General features: G+C 45.8%; 1 protein-coding gene and 1 pseudogene across 6 annotated transcripts in view, besides 5 other annotated features; both read left to right on the top strand.

Moving 5' to 3' along the window:
• Positions 2,450 to 2,519: an enhancer, noted in NCBI's record as "active region_17706". NCBI's record gives its function as "activates an Ori minimal core promoter by ATAC-STARR-seq in GM12878 lymphoblastoid cells {active_cell/tissue: GM12878}" and the evidence as "EXISTENCE:reporter gene assay evidence [ECO:0000049][PMID:35858748]".
• Positions 4,863 to 5,042: a silencer, noted in NCBI's record as "silent region_12773". NCBI's record gives its function as "represses an Ori minimal core promoter by ATAC-STARR-seq in GM12878 lymphoblastoid cells {active_cell/tissue: GM12878}" and the evidence as "EXISTENCE:reporter gene assay evidence [ECO:0000049][PMID:35858748]".
• On the top strand, positions 14,940 to 15,057 carry RNA5SP482 (RNA, 5S ribosomal pseudogene 482; annotated as a pseudogene).
• HCK (HCK proto-oncogene, Src family tyrosine kinase) overlaps positions 16,594 to 22,817 on the top strand; it is a 49,615-nt gene continuing 43,391 nt past the window's right edge. For 5 of the 6 annotated variants that reach the window (NM_001172133.3, NM_002110.5, NM_001172129.3 and 2 more), the window contains exon 1: positions 16,594 to 16,838. Coding sequence is in view for 3 of the 6 variants with exons in the window: in NM_002110.5 (NP_002101.2) it covers positions 16,777 to 16,838 (62 nt within the window). In the remaining 3 variants the exon portion in view is untranslated. Of the gene's footprint in view, positions 16,839 to 18,567; positions 18,634 to 22,817 lie in introns of all 6 variants that reach the window. The other variant, NM_001172132.3, reaches the window with a different exon arrangement.
• Positions 16,954 to 17,013: a silencer, noted in NCBI's record as "silent region_12774". NCBI's record gives its function as "represses an Ori minimal core promoter by ATAC-STARR-seq in GM12878 lymphoblastoid cells {active_cell/tissue: GM12878}" and the evidence as "EXISTENCE:reporter gene assay evidence [ECO:0000049][PMID:35858748]".
• Positions 18,067 to 18,266: a silencer, noted in NCBI's record as "fragment chr20:30641518-30641717 (GRCh37/hg19 assembly coordinates)". NCBI's record gives its function as "represses an EF-1alpha promoter that drives an FKBP-Casp9 reporter gene in an ReSE screen in phorbol 12-myristate 13-acetate-treated (for megakaryocytic differentiation) K562 erythroleukemia cells {active_cell/tissue: K562(+PMA)}" and the evidence as "EXISTENCE:reporter gene assay evidence [ECO:0000049][PMID:32094911]".
• Positions 22,121 to 22,210: an enhancer, noted in NCBI's record as "active region_17707". NCBI's record gives its function as "activates an Ori minimal core promoter by ATAC-STARR-seq in GM12878 lymphoblastoid cells {active_cell/tissue: GM12878}" and the evidence as "EXISTENCE:reporter gene assay evidence [ECO:0000049][PMID:35858748]".

A 22,817-nucleotide genomic window follows, 5' to 3' on the forward strand; every position in this document is an offset into this window, starting at 1 on the left:
TCTGTAAAGTGGGGTTGATAATAGCCTCACCCTCGTAGATCCCATAGATTGTCATGAGTCTTAAGATATTTCACGTAAAAGTATATGTAGAAAGTGCTCAATTAGTGACCATTGTGATAGCTGGAGGAACACGGAGTGTGTGAGGTGGGGGACGAGGTGGGTGGGTAGGAGTTGCAGGAGAGGAAACCAGAGAAGTGGATAGATTAGAAGCCCTTGAAGGGCAGGCTAGGAAGCATAGGCAATGGGAGGCTATCTAATGTTTGTTGTTGTTATTGTTGTTTTTGTTATCGTTGTTTGAGGCGGGTTCTCACTCTGTCACCCAGCTGGAGTGCAGTGGAACAATCAAAGCTCACTGCAGCCTCCAGCTCCTGGGCTCAAGCCATTCTCAGCCTTCAAAGTAGCAGAATTACAGGTGTGCGCCACCAGGCCTGGCTATTTCTAAATTTTTTTTGTAGAGACGTGCTCTCTTTATGTTGCCCAGGATGGTCTTGAACTCCTGAGCTCAAGGGATCCACCCGCCTGAGCCTCCCAAAGTGCTGAGATTACAGGCGTGAACAAAGGTGCCCCACCTGGGAACAAGCCAGGGGACCTGCATTTTCTTGAAGCGAATCAAGCTGCTGGAGAGGAGGATCAATAGGAAAACAGAGGAGCGTCTGGAAGCAGGGAAGTGGGGAGGAGGCTGGAACCAGGACCACATGAGAGATGGTAAGACCTGACTGAGCTGGGGTAAGAGGAAGGAAGAGGAGAGAGTAGGTTCAAAGAGGAAAGAAGAGAAAGAGAACTCTGCCTACCCCCACCCCCACTCAGAAATAGTAGCCCCTCACATTCTTTGACCAAATTCATTCGTTCATTCATTCATTCATTCCACAACCATTTATTTAGCATTTAAACCCTGGCCTCTTGGAGTTTACATTCTAGGAGTTTATATTACTATTAAATGTTACTAGGAGCTTCCAGATGCAGTAACGACCCAATCAGGTCTAAATGGCCAGAAATTGATGGCCCTCTTGGTGGGTCCTCCCACTTGACTTGTTGCTTATCCTCAGGTATTTCAGAGCAGGGGCAGAGGGGTCTTAAAGCCAGGCCAGCCTGTTCTGCCCACTTCCTACCTTGGGGAGTTCACTGTCTCCTATGGCAGCCCCTTCTATCCAATGCAAGAGCTAACATCCACCTCCTTGTCCCCCCACTCCCTGCCCGCCGTCCCCAGGGCCCCCCACCTGGCTTCTAACATCACCTTTAAGAGCCCTACACGGTATCCCTGATGCCTCAGCCACTGGGCAGCCCTGCAGCAACGTGCAGAAAATGATGCAATCTGCAGAAACTTCTCAACTTCTCATTTATATCTAAAAGCAGACTGTTCTCAAAAAAAATATTTTCAAAGCCTATCATGCAGACAAAGGGGGAGTGCGTTTGATGTGTAAAGACCTACAAGTAAATAAGACCAACAGCCTAATAGAAAAATAGGCAAATTATTTATACAGACAGTTCACAGAAAATACAAACGACTCTAAAACGTGTGACAAGATGTTCAACCTCACTCATAAGATAAATGCAAATTAACACAACACCGAGCAACCATTTTTCAATTAAGAGATTGGCAAAGTTTGGAAAAGTGTGATCACTCACTATGTGGGTGTAGGTGTGAGGAAACAGACACTCTCACACATTCCTGGTGGGAGAGCAAGTTGGTATAAACCCTACTGAGCAATATCTACCAGGATGCAGGAGCCCTTTGATGCAACAATTCCACTGCCAAGAATTTCTCCGGCATTTATACCCACACGAGTGGAAACCAATGTGCAAGGAAAGTCATTGCAGCTTTGTCTCTAATAACAAGAGTTTGGAAATAAACCAAATGTTCAGTGATAGGGGTCTGGTTAAATGAACTGTGGCTCATGCAGGCAATAAAATACCATGCAGCCATAAATAAGAACTAGGTAGCTCTGTGCACCGATACAGAATTATTTCCAAGATAGAGTAAGTGAAAAAAAAAAAAAAAAGCAAAGTACAGAACAATGCACTTTGAATAGTGCTGTATTTTTGTTTAAGGAGGCGGGAAATGTCTTTTAAGTATAGAATAGTTCTGGAAGGTACACAAAACAAGTTATAGTTGTGCTTCTGAGCTGGAGGAGTGTGTGGCTATAGAATAAAGAGGGAAGGAGACTTTCTCTGCATGATGTGTCCTAAATGTTATGTCATGAATATGAATTACAGCAGAGCAATTTTTTCAAAAACCACTATTCCAGTATTGTGGTATTTACTGAACTCTATAGACACTATCTGTTTCCATATCTGTCTGACCCCTCCAACCCCACGCCTACTCTCAACACTCACGCTTACACACACACACACACATGCACACACACACACACACGCACACACACACACACACACAGAATCTTGGAAAGGGAGGCTGGTTCTGACTCATTCCTACATTCCCTGGAGCTCAGCACAGCACCAAGCACAGAGCCTCCTGCCAACAATCATATGAGTGAACTATCTTGGAAACAGATCCCCCAGCCCCAGTCCAGCCTTCAGATGACTTCTCATCAGGCGTTGACTGCAGCCTCATAAGAGATCCCAAGCCAAAACCACTAAGCTAAGTTAGTTCCACATTTCTGACCTACAGAAACTGTGTGAGATAATAAATGTTGGCCAGGTGCAGTGGCTCACACTTGTAATCCCAGCAGTTTGCGAGGCTAAGGTGGGAGGATTGCCTGAGGCCAGGAGTTCCCGACCAGCCTGGGCGACATAGTGAGACCCTGTCTTTATTTTTTTTAATAGTTACAATTTTTTAAATCTCAATCCTGCTTCTTCTGTATAATTACACAGTTTTAAGTTGCTAAATTTTGGGTAATCTGTTACACGGCAGTATATAACTAATACAATCACCAAAGGTTTGTTTTTGTTTTTGTTTGTTGTTGTTTTGTTTTTTTGTCATTGTTGTTGTTTTGTTTTTGTTTTTGAGACCATCTCGTGCTGTCATCCAGGCTGGAGTGCAATGGGGTGAACACAACTCACTGTTACCTCGACCTCCTGGGCTCAAGCAATCCTCCTGCCTTAGCCACCCATGTAGATGGGACAATAGGCATGCATCACCATGCTTGGCTAATTTTTAAATTATTATTATTATTTTTGTACAGATGGGGTCTCACTTTGTTGTGTAGGTCGGTCTCAAACTCCTGGGCTCAAGCAATCCTCCCACCTCAGACTCCCAAAGTGCTAGGATTACAGGTGTGAGCCACCCTGCCCAGGCACAATCAATAAGCCTTTATTAAGCATTTGATGTGTATCAATTCCATGGTGATTGCAAAAGAAGAAGACATGGTCCTGCCCTTAGGGGAGCAAGCCACCTGCACATTCATTCCTAGACTCATTCCTTACTTCAACCAACATTATTGAGCATTTACTATATACCTGGCTCTGTGCTTAGTGTTGACCCATAGGATGTCAGCAATTAAAATACACCATAGAGGCCTGTAGTCCCAGCTACTTGGGAGGCTGGGGTGGGAGGATCACCTGAAATCAGGAGTTCAAGGCCAGCCTGGGCAGCATAGCGAGACCTGCTCTCAAAAACAAAAATGTGTGTGTGTATATATATATATATATAGTAGGACAAGAGGGAACTTTCTAGAGTGATAAAAATGTATCTCCTAATGGGGTTTAAGTTACATAAATATATATGCATTTGTAAAAACTCAGCAAATGAACACGTAATCTTTTGCCCTTTGCCTGTAAATTTACATTAAAAGAAAATTACTGTAAACAAATATTGAAATTGAACTCCAGTTAATAATATGTGTGTTGAGGTAATTTCTTTAAAATGCATCTTAAAAGATGAATTGATAGACAGATAGATGAACAAACATGGTTAAAGCAAGTAAAATGTCAATGGTAGAATGTAAGTGGTGAGAGTAGGTATTTTGTCGCCAAAGTCTTTAAATTTTGCTGTGTATTTGGACATTTTCATAATAAAATGTTCAGAAGGAGCAACACTTGATAACCATATATTCCAATTCCCTCATTTATTATCATTATTTTAGTTCCATAAATAAAAACAATGCATTCTAGTTAAGAAAGAAAAAAACAGCGAGAGAAACATCACACACCAGGGCCTGTTGGGGGATGGGGGGAAAGGGGAGGGAGAGCATTAGGACAAATACCTAATGCATGTGGGGCTTAAAACCTAGATGACAGGTTGATGGGTGCAGCAAACCACCACGGCACATGTATACCTATGCAACAAACCTGCACGTTCTGCAAATGTATCCCAGAATTTAAAGTAAAAAGAAAGAAAGAAAAAAAAAAACATAGAAAAACACTTCCCCACCACCAATTCCAATGTTCCTTTCCTCTTCAGTGACAACCTCTGCTTCTTGTTGGCTGTTTAGCTTCCAGACTTTTATCTACGCATTTACATACATGTAGAGGTAAACACAAAACCATGTTATTATTTTAAAAAGGAATGTACTCTGCGATTCTGAAAGAATGTCTTGGGGATCTCTCCATGTTAATTCATGCACATCACCCCAGTTTCAAATTGCTGAGTAAGGATGTGTCTTCCTCTTTGAGATTCAGGCTCAGAGAAGAGTTTGTCAGACACACACAGCAAGTTAGAAGAGCTGGGACTCCAACCTACTCTCCTAGTCCCAGGCCTGGGCGCACCCTGCTTGAGCATGTCCACCACTGAATGAGGGGCAGGGCCACGCCCAGGCCCTTTTTTTCTGCAGAATACAGTGGGCAGGTCCAGCCCTGCCCCTGGGAGAAGACCAGCCTGGGCTTGGGTGCACCGGACCCAGGAGGAAGTCCACAAAGCGCTTCCTCTTTTCTTAGCCTCCAGAGACACTGGGGGAAGAGAAGGGGGTGTTGTGAAACTGAACAGTCCCCCAACCCCCCTGGGGGGACCCGTCAGCTGGGGGTGGCCATGCAGCTGGGGGCAGAAAAACAATTTCATGGACTCCCCCAGCACTGCCCCCGCCCCACCCCCGTCCCCACCCAGTCTCACCCCGCCCCTGAGCAGGAGGTCTGCTGCCTCTAGGATGGTACTTGGGGTAGGTAAGCTTGGAAGGCATCCATAGGCCAGCCTTGTACAGTCTTGCCCGAGTCCTACATGAGCTGGCCCCAGTGCCTATCAGCTGCTGCCGCCACTTCCAGCCTCCTCTTCCAAATATGGTATCTGCCTGGGGCTTCAGGCACCAACAACATGGAAATGTTTGCAGTTCCTCAAACAGGTCAGACTGTTTCCCTCTCAAGCCTTTGTCAGGTTGTCCCTTCTGTCTGGAACACCCTTTGCCCTGATCTTCCTCTGGCATCCATTAAGCCTCAACTCATGTCACTTTTTTTTTTTTTTAAGGCAGGTCTCACTCCATTGCCCAGTCTGGAGTGCAGTGGCGCGATCTCAGCTCACTGCAACCTCTGCCTGCAGGATTCAAGCAATTCTCCTGCCTCAGCTTCCCGAGTAACTGGGATTACAGGTGCCCGCCATCACGCCTGGCTAATTTTTAGTAGAGACAGGATTTCGCCATGTTGTCCAGGCTAGTCTCTAACTCCTGATGTCAGGTGATCCACCCACTTCGGCCTCCCAAAGTGCTGGGATTACAGGCATGAGCCACTGTGCCTGGCCCATATCACCTTTTTCAAGAAGTCCTTGCTGCACTCAGTGTCCTTCCTACTTGGTCCTACAATATCATGGGCCTATCTCTCTCTCTCTCTCTAGCAGCATTTTCCACTCTGTATCTAAGTTATTGGTTAAATGATTGTCTCCATAATTGGATTGAAAGTTGCTTGAGGGCCAAAACGCTCTCATCCATTTTTGTGCTCCCAGACCTTGGCAGAAATGCACATGGTAGGCCCTTAATCGTATTAATGGAATTAATCAAAGAACGAAGGGTTTAGATGCCAGCACTGTCACTATCACTCACTGGCTGTTCCTAAACTCTGAGCTTCAGTTTCTTCCTCTGTAAAATGGGCATGTGAATAGTATCTGCACGGAATTTGCAATATAGTAGAGGAGACAGAGAATCAACAGGTGAACATACAAATATGTAACATAGTGCCTGGTGGCGACAAATTCTCTGGAGAAAAATAAGGCCGAGTGGGAGTTAAAGAAGACTGGAGGAGGGAGGAGCTTTCTAAGGGGGTCAGGGACCCCCTAGGGGCTGTTGGGCGTTTCTCAAGGGTTAGTCTCCTCTGATTTTCATTTGACCTTTTTGGGAAAGGTGGGGAGCAGTGAGCTCCTGCCTGGGAGGGTGTAGCTATGAAATAAACGCTGGCTACTTTACAAATAAAAGGGGAAATGGTTGAGCTCTGAAATAATGATTGTGGCTCTCTTTCCCATCCTTCAACATGTTTTGAATATAGAACAATCAACAGTGATCCCAAAGAATTTGAAATATGAAATGCAAATGCCCTCTGGAAATAGGAAAATACATTTTTGAAAGAGCCAACCTCTGACCCACTGTAAAGCGAAGCTTACATTGTGTTCTAGCTCCTGCCCTCCTTCCAGGACAGAGCCCTGGGTCCCTTTCTGCATTCTGCATCTCTCTCTATACTCCTCAACTTCCTGGGCACGATTACTGCATTTTGTGTAACGGTTACAAACACAGCTGTCAGAGGCACACTGGAGGCATGTCCATGTGGGTTCTTCAAATCCCAGCTCTGGCACTTATTGGCTGTGTGACCTTGGGCAATTGCCTTTACCTGTCTGAGCAACCCTTTTATAGTCATCCCTATTTATAAGACAGAAAATGAGATAATGTAAGTGAGGGCAACCACCTGGTGCAGGAGGTACTCTTATTCTACTATGCAGGGGAGGAAACGGGCAGAGAGAACCTGCCCAAAGTCACAGCTAGCGAGAGGCGGTCAGTCCAGCCTCTGTGCCTTTGCTCCCACGCTCTTCCACCCCTGGCCCCAGAGTCAAGTGCACACTCAGAACACCTTTCTTGACTTTTCATCCTCTAAAAATCCCAGCCAGCATCAATTCTATCTCATCCATGAAGTCTCTGATTGTATTTTCAGTTGACTTTACTTGATTTTGTATAGCTAATACATTTAAATAGTTCAACATTCAAGAGTACAAAAGATACTATGCAGTTCCCCTCCCTGGAAGAAACCACTGGGGCTGTTTGCTATGTGTGCCCTTCTTCACTTGGCCCAGCCATATGCTAGTGTGTTTGTTCTATTATTCTGCACAAATAGTGAAATACAATAGAAGCTGTTGGACGCCTCAATTTCTTCCCTATTTACAGCTATATTTTTGCATTGTTCTCTATTAGTACATAAGGGGCTTCCTCCTTCTTTTGTAAAAAGCATTTTTATTGAATTATAAATTTACGTACTATACAATTCACCTGTTTAACTTTTACAATGCAATGGTTTTTAGTATGTTCAAATGTTGTGCAACTGTCACCACAATCAATTTTAGAACATTTTCATTACCCACCCACCAAAACCACCCTGTACCTATTAGCAGTCACTTCTTATTTCTCCTCAGCTCCCAGCCCAATGCAACCAATAATCTCCTTTCTTTTTCTTTTAAGTAGAGATGGAGGTCTCAGCATGATGCCCAAGCTGGTCTTGAACTCCTGGGTTCAAGTGATCCTCCTACCTCAGCCTCCAGAGTGGCTGGGACTACAGGCATATGCCACTGTGCCCAACCTCTTTTCTGTTTCTATAGATTTGCCTGTTCTGGACCTTTCATATAAATTGAATTTTATAATATGTGGTATTTTATGATCAGCTGTTTTCATTTAGCATAATGTTTTCAAGGTCCGTCCATATCATAGCCTGTATCAGTACTTCATACCTCTTTATTGCCAAATAATATTTCATTGGGTGGATATGCCACATTTATCCATTGAGGGACATTGAAGTTGTTTCCACTGTTTGGCTGTTATGAATAATGCTGGTATGAAGATTTTATGTACAGATCTTTGTGTAGACATATATTTTCAGATTTCTTGGGTATATACCTGGGCGTGGGATTGCTGGGTCATAAGGTAATTCTATGTGTAACTTTTTGATGAACTGCCAGACTGTTTCCCAAAGCAGCTGCTCCTTTTACATTTCCACCATCATTGTATGAGGTGGAATCTCTCCATATTCTCAGCAACAATTGTTATTATCTGTCTTTTTAAATTATAGCAGTTCTAATGGATGTGAAGTGGAATCTCATTGTGGAATTGATTTGCATTTCTCTAATAACTAATGATATTAAGCACCTTTCCATGTGCTTATTGGCCATTTGTATAGCTTCTTTGGAGAACTATCTATTCAGATCTCTTGCCCACTTTTAAGTTGTGGATTTTTAAATTATTGAGCCATCCTATGTATATATTCAGGACCCCAGTCCCTTTTCAGATCTGTGATTTGCAAATATTTCCTCCCATTCTGTGGGTTGTCTTTACATTTTCAGGATAGTATCACTTGCAGCACAAGTTTTCAATTTCAGTGAAGTCCAATTTATCTATTTTTTCCTTTTGTCACTTGTATCACATCTAAGAAGAATTTGCCTAGCCCAAGGTCATGAAAATTTACTTCTGTGTTTTCTTCTAAGAGTTTTACAGCATGGGTAACATAGCGAAACCCCTTCTCTACCAAAAATACAAAAAATTAGCCGGAGTGGTGGTGTGCGCCTGTGATCCCAACTGCTCAGGAGGCTGAGGTGGGAGGATCACTTGAGCCTGGGAAGTGGAGGTTGTAGTGGCCAAGATCGCGCCACTGCACTCCAACTGGGTGACAAAGTGAAACCCCATCACACACACACACACACACACACACACACACACACACACAAAGAGTTTTATAGTTTTTGTTCATACACTTAGATCTACGATCCATTTTGGGATCCAACTTCATTCTTTTGCACGTGAATATTGAGTTGTTCTAGCACCATTTGTTGAAAATACTGTTTTCTTCCATTATTGAATTGTTTTGGCACTCTTTTTGAAAATCAATTGGCCTTAAATGTGAGGGTTCATTTCTCAACTCTCAATTCTGTCCCATTGACCTATATTTCTATTCTTATGCCAATACCACACTGTCTTGATTACTGTAACTTTGTAGTAAGTTTTGGAAATCAGGAAGTGTTAGTTCTGCAACTTTGTTGTTCTTTTCAAGATTATTTTGGCTGTTCTAGGTCCCTTGCATTTCCATATGAATTTTAGGACCAACTTGTTTATTCCTGCCACCCCCCCCCAAAAAAAAGGCAACTGGGGTTTTGATAGGGATAGTATTGATCAGTTTGGGGAGTACTATCATCAACACTATTAAGTTTTCCAATCCATGAACATGAGATGTCTCTCTCAACCCATGGGATGATTTTATTTAGGTCTTAAGTTTCTTTCAAGGATGTTTTCTTGCTTTCAGAGTATATTGTACTACTTTTGTTAAATTTATTCCTAAGTATTTTATTCTTCTGGTGATATTATAAATAAAATTGTTTTCTTAATTTCATGTTCAGATTGTTTATTACTAGTGTATAGAGATACATTTTTTTTTAAATACAGTGTTTCGCTCTTGTGGCCCAGGCTGGAGTGCAATGGCGCAATCTCGGCTCACTGCAACCTCCACCTCCCGGGTTCAAGTGATTCTCCTGCCTCAGCCTCCTGAGTAGCTGGGATTACAGGCGCCCGCCACCACACCCAGCTAATTTTTGTACTTTTAGTAAAGACAGGGTTTCACCACCGTGCCCAGGTACAGTTGGTTGTTATATATCCTTATTATTTTTGACAACTGCTTAGTATTCAATTATTTTATTAAGATTTATTTTCCCACGTCCCAAATCATGGGCATTTAGGTTATTTTCTGTCTTTTCCTAGTAAAAGAAGTGCTGCGATGATTCTCCTGTACATACTATGAATTCTTTTAGGCATTCTGATGTTTTCTCTCTCTGAGCTCCTTTAGTCGTCAGCTGCTACCACTCTGACCCAAGCTCCCATCATCTTGCCCTTGGATGACTCTCTCCCTGCTCACTGGTTTCCCTCCTTTCCCTTTGCCCCTCCAATTCATTCTCTACCCAGCAGCCAGACAGATCCTGTGAAAAGATAAGCCAGTTTGGCTCACTCCTCTGTTCAAAACCCTCCAACAGGGCTGGGCACAGTGGTTCACACCTGTAATCCCAGCACTTTTGGGAGGCTGAGGCAGGTGGACCACCTGAGGTCAGGAGTTCGAGACCAGCCTGGCTAACATGGCAAAACCCCATCTCTAGTAAAAATACAAAAATTAGCCAAGCGTGGTGGCGGGCGCCTGTAGTCCCAGATACCTGGGAGGCTGAGGCAGGAGAATCACTTAAACCTAGGCGGTGGAGGTTGCAGTGAGCCGAGATCGTGCCACTGTACACCCTGGGCGACAGAGTGAGACTCTGTCTCAAAACAAACAAACAAAACCCTCCAACAGCTCCCATCTTGTGTCAATTAAAATTTAATATCGATACCAAGATGTCTGTGGCCTTCACAATATGACCCCACTTACTACCTCTCCAACACTGTCTCCACCACTCTTGTCTGCACCCTCTGTGTTCCAGCCACAATGGGCTCTTTGTATTCCCTAAACACACCACGTGCTGTTGCCTCTCAGGACCTTTGCTGTTACTGGTGCTTCTGCTTGGAACACAATTCCTCCAGATTATCACATGACTTATCTCTCCAATTCAAAAGGTCTTGCTCACATGCCACCTCCTCAGAGAAGCCTTCTCTGACCACCCTGTCTCAAGTTACACCATCGCTCCTCTCCATCCCACTACCTCTCCCCTTGACCTCCCTAGTTTTCTTATAACCCATATCATTCCCAAACATGGGATGAGTTTTCAGTATCTGTTTATTATCCATCTTCCCCTCAATAATGTAAATTCTAAGCACATAGGAAGGAATTAATTTTGTTTATTACTGTATCCTCAGCATCAATAATAGCACATGGCACATAGTAGGTGCTCCATAAATATTTGTTGAGTGAATGAATTATCATGCCACTCCCCTGTTTATAACCATCCAATAGCGTCCCATGTATGTTAGAATAAAACCTATGCTCCTCACAGAGGCCTGCAAGGTCCTGAGTGGCCTGGCCAATTTCATGGACCTCACCTTGGGTCTCCCTCCTCTGCTAGACACAATGGGGTTCTTCAGACACACAAAGCACCTACTTTCCTTGAGGCTTTTGTGTATTGTATTGGTTATCAAGATTGCATAATAAACTACCCCGAAGCTTAAAGGCTTGAAACAATAAGAATTTATTGGCAGGGCACGGTTTCTCATGCCTGTAATCCCAGCACTTTGGGAGGCTGAGGTCGGTGGATTACCTGAGGTCAGGAGTTCGAGACCAGTCTGGCCAACATGGTGAAACCCTGTCTCTACTAAAAATACAAAAACTAGCCAGGTGTGGTGTCAGGCACCTGTAATCCCAGCTACTCGGGAGGCTGAGGCAGGAGAATCACTTGAACCTGGGAGGCGGAGGTCACAGTGAGCTGAGATTGCGCCTCTGCACTCCAGCCTGGGCAACAGAGTGAGAATCTGTCTCCAAAAAAAAAAAAAAAAAAAAAAAAAGATATTACCTGTTCTGGGGAGGCTTCCCTACCTTCCCCTGTTAACCTGTCAAAGCCCCTGCATGGAGCCCCACCCCTTGATAGTGCTTGTTGCAAAATTCCAACCTGCCCTTATTGGTGCAACCATTTGTCCAATGCCCTCCAGTAAGTGGAAAATGCCATGAGGCCAGGGATTTCGGCTCCCTCATTCTCTGTTGTGTTCCCTAACACTCAAGACTCATTACCCAGTATGTGCCCATTATTATGTTTGTTGACCAAATGAGAGAATCAGAGACATCAAATGGCTTGCTCAAGGCTACACGTCTAGAGGTGGAAGGAGCACTAGAATCTGGGCCTTGTTACTCCTGATCTAGAATTGGCCTCCTGCCCCAGGACTCACTTGGTTCTCCAGACTTCAGTCACAGCAAAGTCCACCCTCATTTCAGAGTTCCTTTTATTCCATGTTGAAAAGGGTCCACTACCCACAGGGCAATGTCTCCTTTTTAAAGTCATATGCTCCTTCTTTTATCTTTGGAACAAGGCAGAGTGACAAAGGTGATTTCCAAATTATACTTGAATCAGTGCCTAAGCAGCAGTTTGAAATCTTAATGATTAGGCTGTACTAATGAAATTGACCATCTATATATAGCAAACCTAAGCACTTTACTTATATTTCATTCTCAAAATGACCCACTGAGGTAAGTAGTAGTATTATTCCGACTTGACAGATGAGGAAACTGAGACTCAAAGAGGTGACAATCAAGTCACCTCTTTGTACAACATTACCCAGTTGATAACAGCAGTGCCAGGTTTGAACTCTAGTTGGACTCCTACGATGGAGCATTTAGCACCAGTCTTTTGTTTTTGTTTTTGTTTTTGTTTTTGTTTTTTTTTGAGGAGTTTTGCTTTGTCCCCCAGGCTGGAGTACAGTGGTACGATCTCGGCTGTCTGCAGCCTCCGTCTCCCAGGTTCAAGCAATTCTCCTGCCTCAGCCTCCCAAGTAGCTGGGATTACAGGCACCCACTACCACACCCGGCTAATTTTTGTATTTTTAGTAGAGACGGAGTTTCACCATGTTGGCCAGGCTGGTCTCGAACTCCTGACCTCAGGTGATCTGCCCACCTTGGCCTCCCAATGTCCTGGGATTACAGGTGTAAGCCACCACACCTGGCCCTTAGCACCACTTTTGTGGTCAGCTATAGTCTCCATGACAATGAATGAATGAATAATTGAGTAGACAAAATGTTTGCCACCCCCAAAGACTGGTAAGGGGGTGTTTTAGAATACAATTTGTAATTGTATAAATGTTATTTGGTGCAAATATGGGTTAGATGGGAACTTTTTTTAATTGAAAAGAATGATAATGCCAAATGTTGGCAAGGATGTGGAGCAATTGGAAATCATAAATCACTGGAGGGAATGCAAAATGGTGTAACCACTTCAAAAACCAATTTAGACCAGGCACAAAGGCTCACACCTGTAATCCCAGCACTTTGGGAGGCTGAGGCAGGCAGATGGCTTGAGCACAGGAGTTCAAGACCAGCCTGGGCAACACGGTGAGACTGTATCTCTACAAAAAAAAAAAAAATAAGCTGGGCATGGTGGTGTACCTGTAGTCCCAGCTACTCAGAGGCTGAGGTGGGAGGATCACTTGAGCTCAGGAGACAGAGGTTAAAATGAGCCAAGATCTCGCCATTGCACTCCAGCCTGGGTGACAGAGCAAGACCCTGCCTCAAAAAAAAAAAAAAAAGAAAAACAATTCAGCAATTTATTGCAAGTTAGACACACACTTGCTATATGACCCAGCAATTCCAATCCTAAGTATTTACCCGAGAGAAATAAAAATATGCCTACACAAAAACTTGTACATAAATATTTATAGCAGCTTTATTTATATAGCCCCAAATTGAAAACAACCCAAATGTCTCTCAACAAATAAATGGATAAACAAATAGTGTTACATCTATACTATGGAATACTACTCAGCAGTAAAAATGAACGAACTACTGGAACATGCAACAACATGGAAAATCTCTGAGTAAAAGAAGACAAACACAAAAGAAACATACTGTATGACTGCATTTATGAGAAATTCTAGAAAAGACAAAGCTAATGTATAATGGCAAAAAGCCAATTGGTGCTTACCTAAGGCTACCTAAGTGTGGGAGGAGTTGACTGCAATAGGACATAAGGGAACTTTTTGGGGTGATAGAAATGTTCTATATCTTGATTGGGGTGGTGGTTACACAGGTATATATATTTGCCAAAACTCATCAAGCTGAATATTTATGATGGTAGATTTTATTCACGAAATTATGTCACGATAAAGTTGACAGAAGCTTTGGGAACATACACAAGGATTTCAATTACAGCATTACTGTCAGGACAAAACATTTGGGAAACTGTCCATGAACAGGAACATGTGTCAGCTCTCTGGCTCTTTACTATCAGAATGGCAAACTTTTGAAAGGAGATGTAGCTGATGCTAATGCGGACCCTCCGATGCCCCCTGGGCCTTAAGTAAGAGCTGCACTTCTCTTCCTGGAGACCCTCTGGTGGCTGAAGCATGCACCAGGGAGGCCAAAATGCTGGAAGGTCAGTACCCCTGGAGTACCCCTCATCCGGTGTCCAACAGGAGTTGGTGTGTAAATGCCCCAGCTCCCTCGCCTGACAGGTGGAGTAACCCTGAAGTGGGTATATCTCCAGAGATCCCTGCAGAATTGAACTCCAGTTGCCCACAATGGTAACTGGCTTCATGATATTCCTTTTTACTGGCTTCCCTCCCTTCCCTGTCTCATCCACCTACTCCCCTACCAGTGTCTTCTGCATCTCCTAAATAAACTATTTTCACTTGGATCCATGTCCAGGGTCTGCTTCTGGGGAACTCAAATTAAGACCAGTGGATAATACCAAGGGTTGGTAAAGATAAGGGGAAATGATGGGAGAAAGAGTGGGGCAGTGGCGATTCTGCAAACACCTGTCATTCTTGGCAAAGCAAGTACTTAACAAAATTCTAATGTAGGACGATAAGGGGACGTGTATGAGGATGTCCACTGTGGCACTATTTACACTAGTGGGAAATTGTGTGCAATCTAGGTGTCCATGACTAGGAGAATGGATAAATAAAATGTGAAGGATGTAAACAGTGACTACACGTACAGCCGCTACCTTTGGCAACATGGCTGGATATTAACAACAGTGATGGGGGTGGCGGGAGGGAATGTACAAAAGTGAATAAGTAACATTAAACATACATTCAGAACATTATCTGTTTTTATAAAAAGCACATACAGACTAGGTGCAATGACTCACACCTATAATCCCAGTACTTTGGGAGGCCAAGGCAGGAGGTTCAGTTGAGCCCCGGAGTTCAAGACTAGCCTGGGCAATACAGCAAGACCCCATCTCTATTTTTTTTTAAGTTGTCTATGCCATACCACACCGAACACATCTGATCTTGTCTGATCTTGGAAGCTAAGCAGGATCAAGCCTGGTTAGTACTTGGATGGGAGACCCCCTCAAAATAGTTAGCACTGTAGGCTAAAGAGAAGGAAAAAAGGCCCATACAGGTACATATACCAAAAACATAAGAGTAGGGTCATTGTCTTTCTCATTCATGGTTCTTCCCCCCTTCCCCACCAGGGGACATTTTACAAATGTCTGGAGACATTTTGTTGTCACAACTAGGGAGGAGGATGCTATAGACAACTAGTGGGTAGAGCCCAGGAATGCTGTTAAACATCCTATCATTCACAGGACAGTCCCCCGCAACAAAGAATTACCTGGCCCAAATGTCAATAGTGCCAAATTTAAGAACCCCTGCATTCCCCAGCCCCCAGGACAGCTTTGCTGAATGAATTATGAATGAATGAATGAAGAAATGACTGTGGTCCTGATCAGCTGGTAGCAACGGGAATAGAGAGACGCGGTAGAATTCTTGTAGTTTTGGAGATTTTGGAGGTGTGTTACACAGCATTTAGGGTGATAGCCCCTGTCTTTTCCAGGAGAGGGTGTGTTCTGCCCTTGCCTGGAGCTGGGCACAATCCCATCCACTTGGGGCCTCAGTCACCCTCCAGCCCGACTCCTCCCCTCCCCCGACCACCTCCCCCAGCTTGGGAGTCCTCTGAGCTGCCAGGAAGCCAGGGTGGTTCCTTCGGGCAGGGAACTTTGCATGGCCATGGTGGTTCCTTCGAGAGAGGAACTTTGCATGGTGTCTGAATGGAGCAGGCCTGCGGAAGAGAAACCGCTGACCACAGACCTGCCTGGAAGTCTCGGGCCGCGGAGTTGGGGAGGGCCGGGCCAGAAGGGAGGGGTCGGAGTGGTGGGGAAAAGAGATCACGATGCTTCCGGGGTAGGGTAAGGCCTTTCCAGGGTGGGTTGGAATCTTTGAAGACTGTGGCAGGAATCCCTTGATAGGTGGGGTTAGGATCTCTGAAGGGCAGGGTTGGAATCTTTGGACCGGCGGTATAGACCCCTGGGTATTAAAACTCTTAGGCGGCGGGAGGTTAGATCGCGCAGGAGCAGGAGCGGTATTGGAACCCTGGGGTTTGTGTTCTAAATCTTAGGGCAGGGTTAGAATCCACTGAAGTGAGAGTTCGGATCCTTCCACTGGGCAGATTAGAATCTTTGGGGGCAAGTTGAGTTTAAAAATCCTTCAGAGGTGGGATTAAAAATCCTTTGGCGGGGCGGGGTTAGTATCTTGGGAGCCTTGGAGCGGGTGCTGGGGTTCTTAGACGGGCGGGTTCGAATCCCTAGGAGTGGGATTTGGGATCCTTTGGAGACTGGGGTAGGACGCTGGGCGGTGGGATGGGGAGGTGTTAGGGAAAGTGGAGCGGAAGGGATGGGGGTTCGCATCCTTGGTGGACGCGTTAGAAGCCTCCTATGGATGGTGCTAATATTTTTTTTCTCTTCGTGGAGGGTTTGGGATCCTTCTTGCAGGAGACGGAGGTTATGACCCTCGGGGAGCCGGTTAGGATCCTGGGGTGGCGTCTGAATCTTCGGGGAGGTGTTAGGACACTTGGGGCGGAGTTAGCCTCGCTCAGGGCGCGGCTAAGGCGCCCAGATGGCCTGCGGGCGCCACCACGTCCCTGGTCCCAGCTCGGGAGCACATCAGAGGCTTAGAGGCGAGTGGGAAGGGACTCAGACAGTGCAGGACGAGAAACGCCCGCGGCACCAAAGCCCCTCAGAGCGTCGCCCCCGCCTCTAGTTCTAGAAAGTCAGTTTCCCGGCACTGGCACCCCGGAACCTCAGGGGCTGCCGAGCTGGGGGGGCGCTCAAGCTGCGAGGATCCGGGCTGCCCGCGAGACGAGGAGCGGGCGCCCAGGTGAGTGCCGCGCACAGGGGACCGGGAATACCCGGCCCGCGAGGGGTCCCAGGAGGCGGAGGGAGCCCAGGAGCCTGGGGAGGGCTGGCTACGGGTGCGGCTGGGGGCAGCGAGGGGAGACGGAACGTCGGGGGAGCCGCGGGTAGCCCGGGGGATGAGGGGTCGACAGCGAGTGGAGGGTGCCCTAGGGAGGGGCGGCACTGTTGCGGACTGCTGGATTCCCGGGGAAGGGGACGCTCGGGCCCGTGCAGTGACTTTATCCACCACTTCTCTGGGCCGTCCAGGTTCCCCTTCTTGGGGGGGGGCGGGGATTTTTTTTTTAATTTAAAAAAGAAAAAGAAGGAAGGGATGGGGCTTCACAGAACCCGGGAAGGGGAAGGCCCTTACGGTTCCCGGTGGGGGCCGGGTCACGCCGGGTTGGCAGCCAGCTTGGGGAAGGGGGTAGTTGGGCGGAGGCGTGACGTGCGAGCCACACCCAGGCCGGCTGCAGCTGGTCGGCTCTCTGCCCCTCCTCCCACAACAGGTCTAGGTCAAACCCCCAAACCTCCTGGCCCCAGACCACACTGCATGCATGCCCTGTCTCTTTCCTCCTTGGACGAATTCTCCGCCTCCGAATTCGTTTCCTCATCTGTAAAACGGGGCTATGAAGTCTTTCTTGCAAGGATGCAGGAAATTGGAGTATGCGAGAGGTGGTGCGTGTGAGAGACAGGCTAGTGGGTAGCGGAGGGGGCTTCTAGGGGCAAACTGCCTGTTGGGGCTGGGGTAGAGGATTTGGCCTTTCTTTGCCTCTGTTTTCACAACTGCAGGATGGGGAGAGTAATAGTACCTCCTTCACAGGGTTGTTTAGAGGATTAATTGGGTACTGAAGGGGCCGGGCAGGGTGGCACACGCCTGTAATCTCAGCTTTTTGGGAGGCCGAGGCAGGTGGATCTCTTGAGGTCTAGAGTTTGAGACCAGCCTGGCCAACATGGTGAAACCCCGTCTCTACTAAAAGTACAAAAATTAGCCGGGCGTAGTAGCACACACCTTTAATCCCAGCTACTCGGGAGGCTGAGGCACGAGAATCACTTGAACCTGGGAGGTGGAGGTTGCGGTGAGCCGAGATCGCGCCACTGCACTCCAGCCTGGGCGACAGAGAGAGACTCTGTCTCAAAAAAAAAAAAAAAAAAAAAAAAGTTACTGAAGGAAAGCTTTGAGAATGCTGTCTGACAGTACACAGGCTTAATGTATGTTAACATTGCCCTAGCTAGACATATGGCCCCGTGTTCTCAGACTTTAGCCTACATCAGCATCACCTGGACTGCTTGTGAAAACAGATTGCTGGGCCGAATCCTAGAGTTTCTGATTCAGTAGCTCTGTGCAGGACAATGAGAACTTCCATCCCCGGTGATGCTGCTGCTGCTGATCCAAGGAGGACACTTTGAGAACCACTGGGGTAGCCTATGCCTGGCACAGAGAAAGGCCTCAATGCCTATCAGTTGCCTTATCCCATGGTTTTCTCTTTATGGTCCTTTTTTTTTTAGGGGAGGGGGTGACAGGTTAAAATACAGAAAAGTGAAGATAATAATATATTAGATGTCCCGAGAATCCACCATCCAGAATTAACAAATAATAGCATTTTGTTGTGTTTGTTTTGAGATTTTAAAAAATTAATTTACTAAAAGTAACAGAAAAAATTGAAGTCTCCCCACCTTGTATCACTCTCAGTCCTGTTTCTCTCCCTCCCCAGGGGCAACCGCTGTCATGAGTTACAGTCCTTCCAGGATGTGCCTCTGAAAATGGATTGCATATAAATGTACGCATAAACAACACGTAGGATTGTTTTGTGTGCTTTAAAAATGCTATCTATGCAGTGGTTCATGCCTGTAATCCCAGCTACTCGGGAGGCTGAGGCAGGAGAATCGCTTGAACCCGGGGAAGCAGAAGTCGCAGTGAGCCGAGATCGCGCCATTGCACTCCAGCCTGGACAACAAAAGCGAAACTCCACCTAAAAAAAAAAAAAAAAAAAAAAAAAAAAAAAAAAAAAAAAAAAAAAAAAGCCCGGACGCGGGGGCTCACGCCTGTAATCCCAGCACTTTGGGAGGCTGAGCCGGGCGGATCACGAGGTCAGGAGATCGAGACCATCCTGGCTAACACGGGGAAACCCCGTCTCTACTAAAAATACAAAAAATTAGCCGGGCATGGTGGCGGGCGCCTGTAGTCCCAGCTACTGGGGAGGCTGAGGCAGGAGAATGGCGTGAACCCTGGAGGTGGAGCTTGCAGTGAGCCGAGATCGTGCCACTGCACTCTAGCCTGGGCCACAGAGCGAGACTCCGTCTCAAAACAAAACAAAACAAAAAACTATCTAATTGTGAGACTTTTCTGCAATTCTGACAATGGGGATAGCAGAGGAGCATATTTGCCCCATCTTATCATTAAGTTGTCAAAATCTACCCAGGATGAGAAATAGAAAATAGAGGCCTCATTCATTCCTTCCAGCTGCTGTGGAGTATCCCAGCAGGTAACGACTCTACAGTATTTCTCTTTCCCCTGTGGATAAATACTCAAGTTGTTCCTAGGCGTTCACTACAACGAACAATATTGACAGGAGCATCCTGGATGTGTAGCTTTCGGCCCATGTACAGGTGGTTCTTGAGGAAAACACCAAAAGGCTGGATGGCTCCCCAGAGAGGGCACCTGTCACACTCCCCTTTGTGTGAGAGGAGTACTGTAGCCCAGAAGGGTCACCAGGGACTCTGGGGCAGAGAAGAGAGAAGAATGTTGCTCTGCTGATCTCCCAGCCGTCTCTGGATCAATGGCCTTTCTTTCAGGCCTCATGTTCTCTGCTGTAAGGCACTTCACTTGCCTTACTCACTATGCCTGGCACTTAATAAGTGTTCAAGAAAATGGAAGCATGAACCTTTTGAGGGAACAATAACCAATATTTTCATGTATCTTTATGTAGTCTTTTCTATGCACTTTTAAATTAACATAATTAGTATAATGCTACACATAGATTATTTTTATCCTATTTATTTGCTTAGTATTACATTGTAGCATTTTCCAGGTCATTAAAATGTTCTTAAATTTTTAGTGGCTGCATAATATTCCACTGTTTGCCTGTATTATAATTTGCTTAACCTTTCTAGCAGAGCAATCTTTTATATAGTTCAAAATTTTTAGAAATATTTTAATCGAGGTGAAATTCACATAACTTTATAAAATTAACTATATGATTTTTAAAGCGAACAATTCAGTGGTATTTGGTATATTCACAATGTTGTACAAACACTACCTGTCAGTAGCTCCTAAACATTTCCATCACCCCTGAAAAAGGAAACTTTGTACCCATTAAGCAATTACCCCCCATTCCCCCGGCCCCTGGCAACCACCAATCTGCTTTTTGCCTCTACGGACTAATTTATTCAGGATATTTAACATAAATAGAAGCATACTATGTGACTTTCTGTGTCTAGCTTCTTCCACTTAACATAATGTTTTCCAAGGTTCATCCACATGGTGGCAACTATTAGTACTTTATTCCCTTTGTGGCCAAATAATATTCCATTGTATGGATATTCCACAGTTTATTTACCCATTTATCCACAGATGGAAATTCAGGTTGTTTCCACATTTTGACCATTGAAAATAATACTGCTATGAGCATGCATGTGCATACATGTATTTGTTTGAGCACCTGTTTTCAATTCCTTTGGGTATATACCTGAAGTAGAGTTACTGGGTCATATAAAAGTTCTATCTCTGTGGCCGGGTGCGGTGGCTCACGCCTGTAATCCCAGCACTCTGGGAGGCTGAGGCGGGCGGATCACGAGGTCAGGAGATGGAGATCATCCCGGTTAACACGGTGAAACCTCGTCTCTACTAAAAAAATACAAAAAAATTAGCCGGGCATTGTGGTGGGCGCCTGTAGTCCCAGCTACTCGGGAGGCTGAGGCAGGAGAATGGCATGAACCCGGGAGGCGGAGCTTGCAGTGAGCCGAGATCGAGCCACTGCACTCTAGCCTGGGCGACAGAGCGAGACTCCTTCTCAGAAAAAAAAAAAACAGTAGTTCTATCTTTAACTTTTTGAGGAACTGCTATGCTGTTTTCCACCATTTTACATTCCCACCGTAATATACAAGGGTTTCAATTGGCTTCACATCCTTGCCAATGCCTACTATGTTTATATTTTATTAGTATTATTATTACCATTCTAATGGGTACAGAAAGCACGAATCTTAATCTCATTCAAACCAGGCTGCCCTCTGAGGGCTCTTACCTCAGAAAGTAAGGAGAAAGTTGTCTACATTCTAAGGACTAGCCAGGGCTTGGACTTTAAACTCTTCTAGAAAGTAAATTCTACAAGAGCACAAACATGTTTGTCCTATAAACCACTGTATCTTCTAACACCTGGCACCTGGCACATAGTAGGGCCTCAAAAAAACACTGATGGGACAAACGCAATGAATGTTGGACAACCTCCTCCCTCCCTTGCCTGAGATATTTCAGCTGCCCTCCCCGAACACCCCTCCACCCGCAGCGATTATTTTTAATTAGTTGCTAACATTTAAACTCAGGAGAGCTCACATAATCTGGATTTCTGTCTCCTAAAACATTAGAAGAGTTAGCAGCCCTGAGACTAGAACCCACGACTCCAGTGCTCTTCAGACAACCTCAGTGGAGCTGGGGGCTGCCCTGGGGGCTACACCTGGGCTGTCCAGCTTGCACAGCCCTTGCCAGGCCCACTTTCCTCATCCGCAGAACCCTCCACATCCCTATAGTCATTTGAGTTTTCAAACCCCACCCTTCGGGTCATGACAAGGCTTCCTTTTTTATAGAAAAGGAACATGAAGGGCTGGGTGCGGTGGCTCACCCTGTAATCCCAGCACTTTGGGAGGCCGAGACAGGCAGATCATCTGAGCTCAGGAGTTCGAGACCAGCCTGGGTAACATGGCAAAACCCTGTCTCTACAAAAAGTACAAAAATTAGCTGGGTGTGGTGGCACATGGCTGTAGTACCAGCTACTCAGGAGGCTGAGGTGGGAGGATCGTCTGAGCACAGAAGGTGAAGGTTGCAGTGATCTGAGACTGCACCACTGTACTCCAGCCTGGGTGACAGAGCAAGACCCTGTCTCATAAAAAGAAAAGAAAAGGAATGTGAAGCCTAGAGAGGGTAATTGACTTTCCCAAAGTCACACAGCAAGTTAGTAGCACAATCTCTCTCAGCCTCTTTCTTTCTTACATCTTTTTGTTGTTGTTTATTTTTCTTTTTTTATACCACAAGTCATCAAGCAATCACTTCTGCCTTTCTAAACAAACCCCACCACATGCACCAACCACATGTTGGTCCCCACCCCATTTCTCCAGTTTCCTCCCCCACAGGACTGGGAGTTTGAAGGTACTTTCAGAGGCGTGGGTAATGATGCAGAAGCAGCCTGTGCTTAAGTGTAAATGTGCCCTGGTCTTGGCCCCGGCTGTGGTCCCACATGCTGCATCCTCTGGATGGCACTGCGCTAGGACGTGCGCTCCTGACTCTCCCTTCGAGTCACCTCCCTGAGTTCCAGGCATCACCCTGAAATCCTTTGGCCCAGGAGATGTAAGTGCAGCCAAGAGAACAGGAATCCCAGCCTCATCTCTACCATAGAAATGAAGAACAGTGGGTACAGTACAGTAGACGACCCCGAGTCTGAGTGCCAGCTCTGCCAAAGACAGGTTGTGATGCACTAGGCAAATCTCTTCCCTTTCTGAGCCTCAGTTCCCAAATCCAAAAAAAAAATGGAACTGAGGCTGGGCACGGTGGCTCACACCTGTAATCCCAGCACTTTGGGAGGACAAAGCAGGTGGATCACCTGAGGTCAGGAGTTCAAGACCAGCCTGGCCAACATGGTGAAACCCCGTCTCTACTAAAAATGCAAAAATTAGCCGGGCGTGGTGGCGGGCGCCTGTAATTTCAGCTACTTGGGAAGCCGAGGCAGGAGAATTGCTGGAACCCGGGAGGCAC

The sequence above is a fragment of the Homo sapiens genome, chromosome 20, assembly GCF_000001405.40.
Source record: "Homo sapiens chromosome 20, GRCh38.p14 Primary Assembly".
Lineage (NCBI taxonomy): Eukaryota > Metazoa > Chordata > Mammalia > Primates > Hominidae > Homo > Homo sapiens.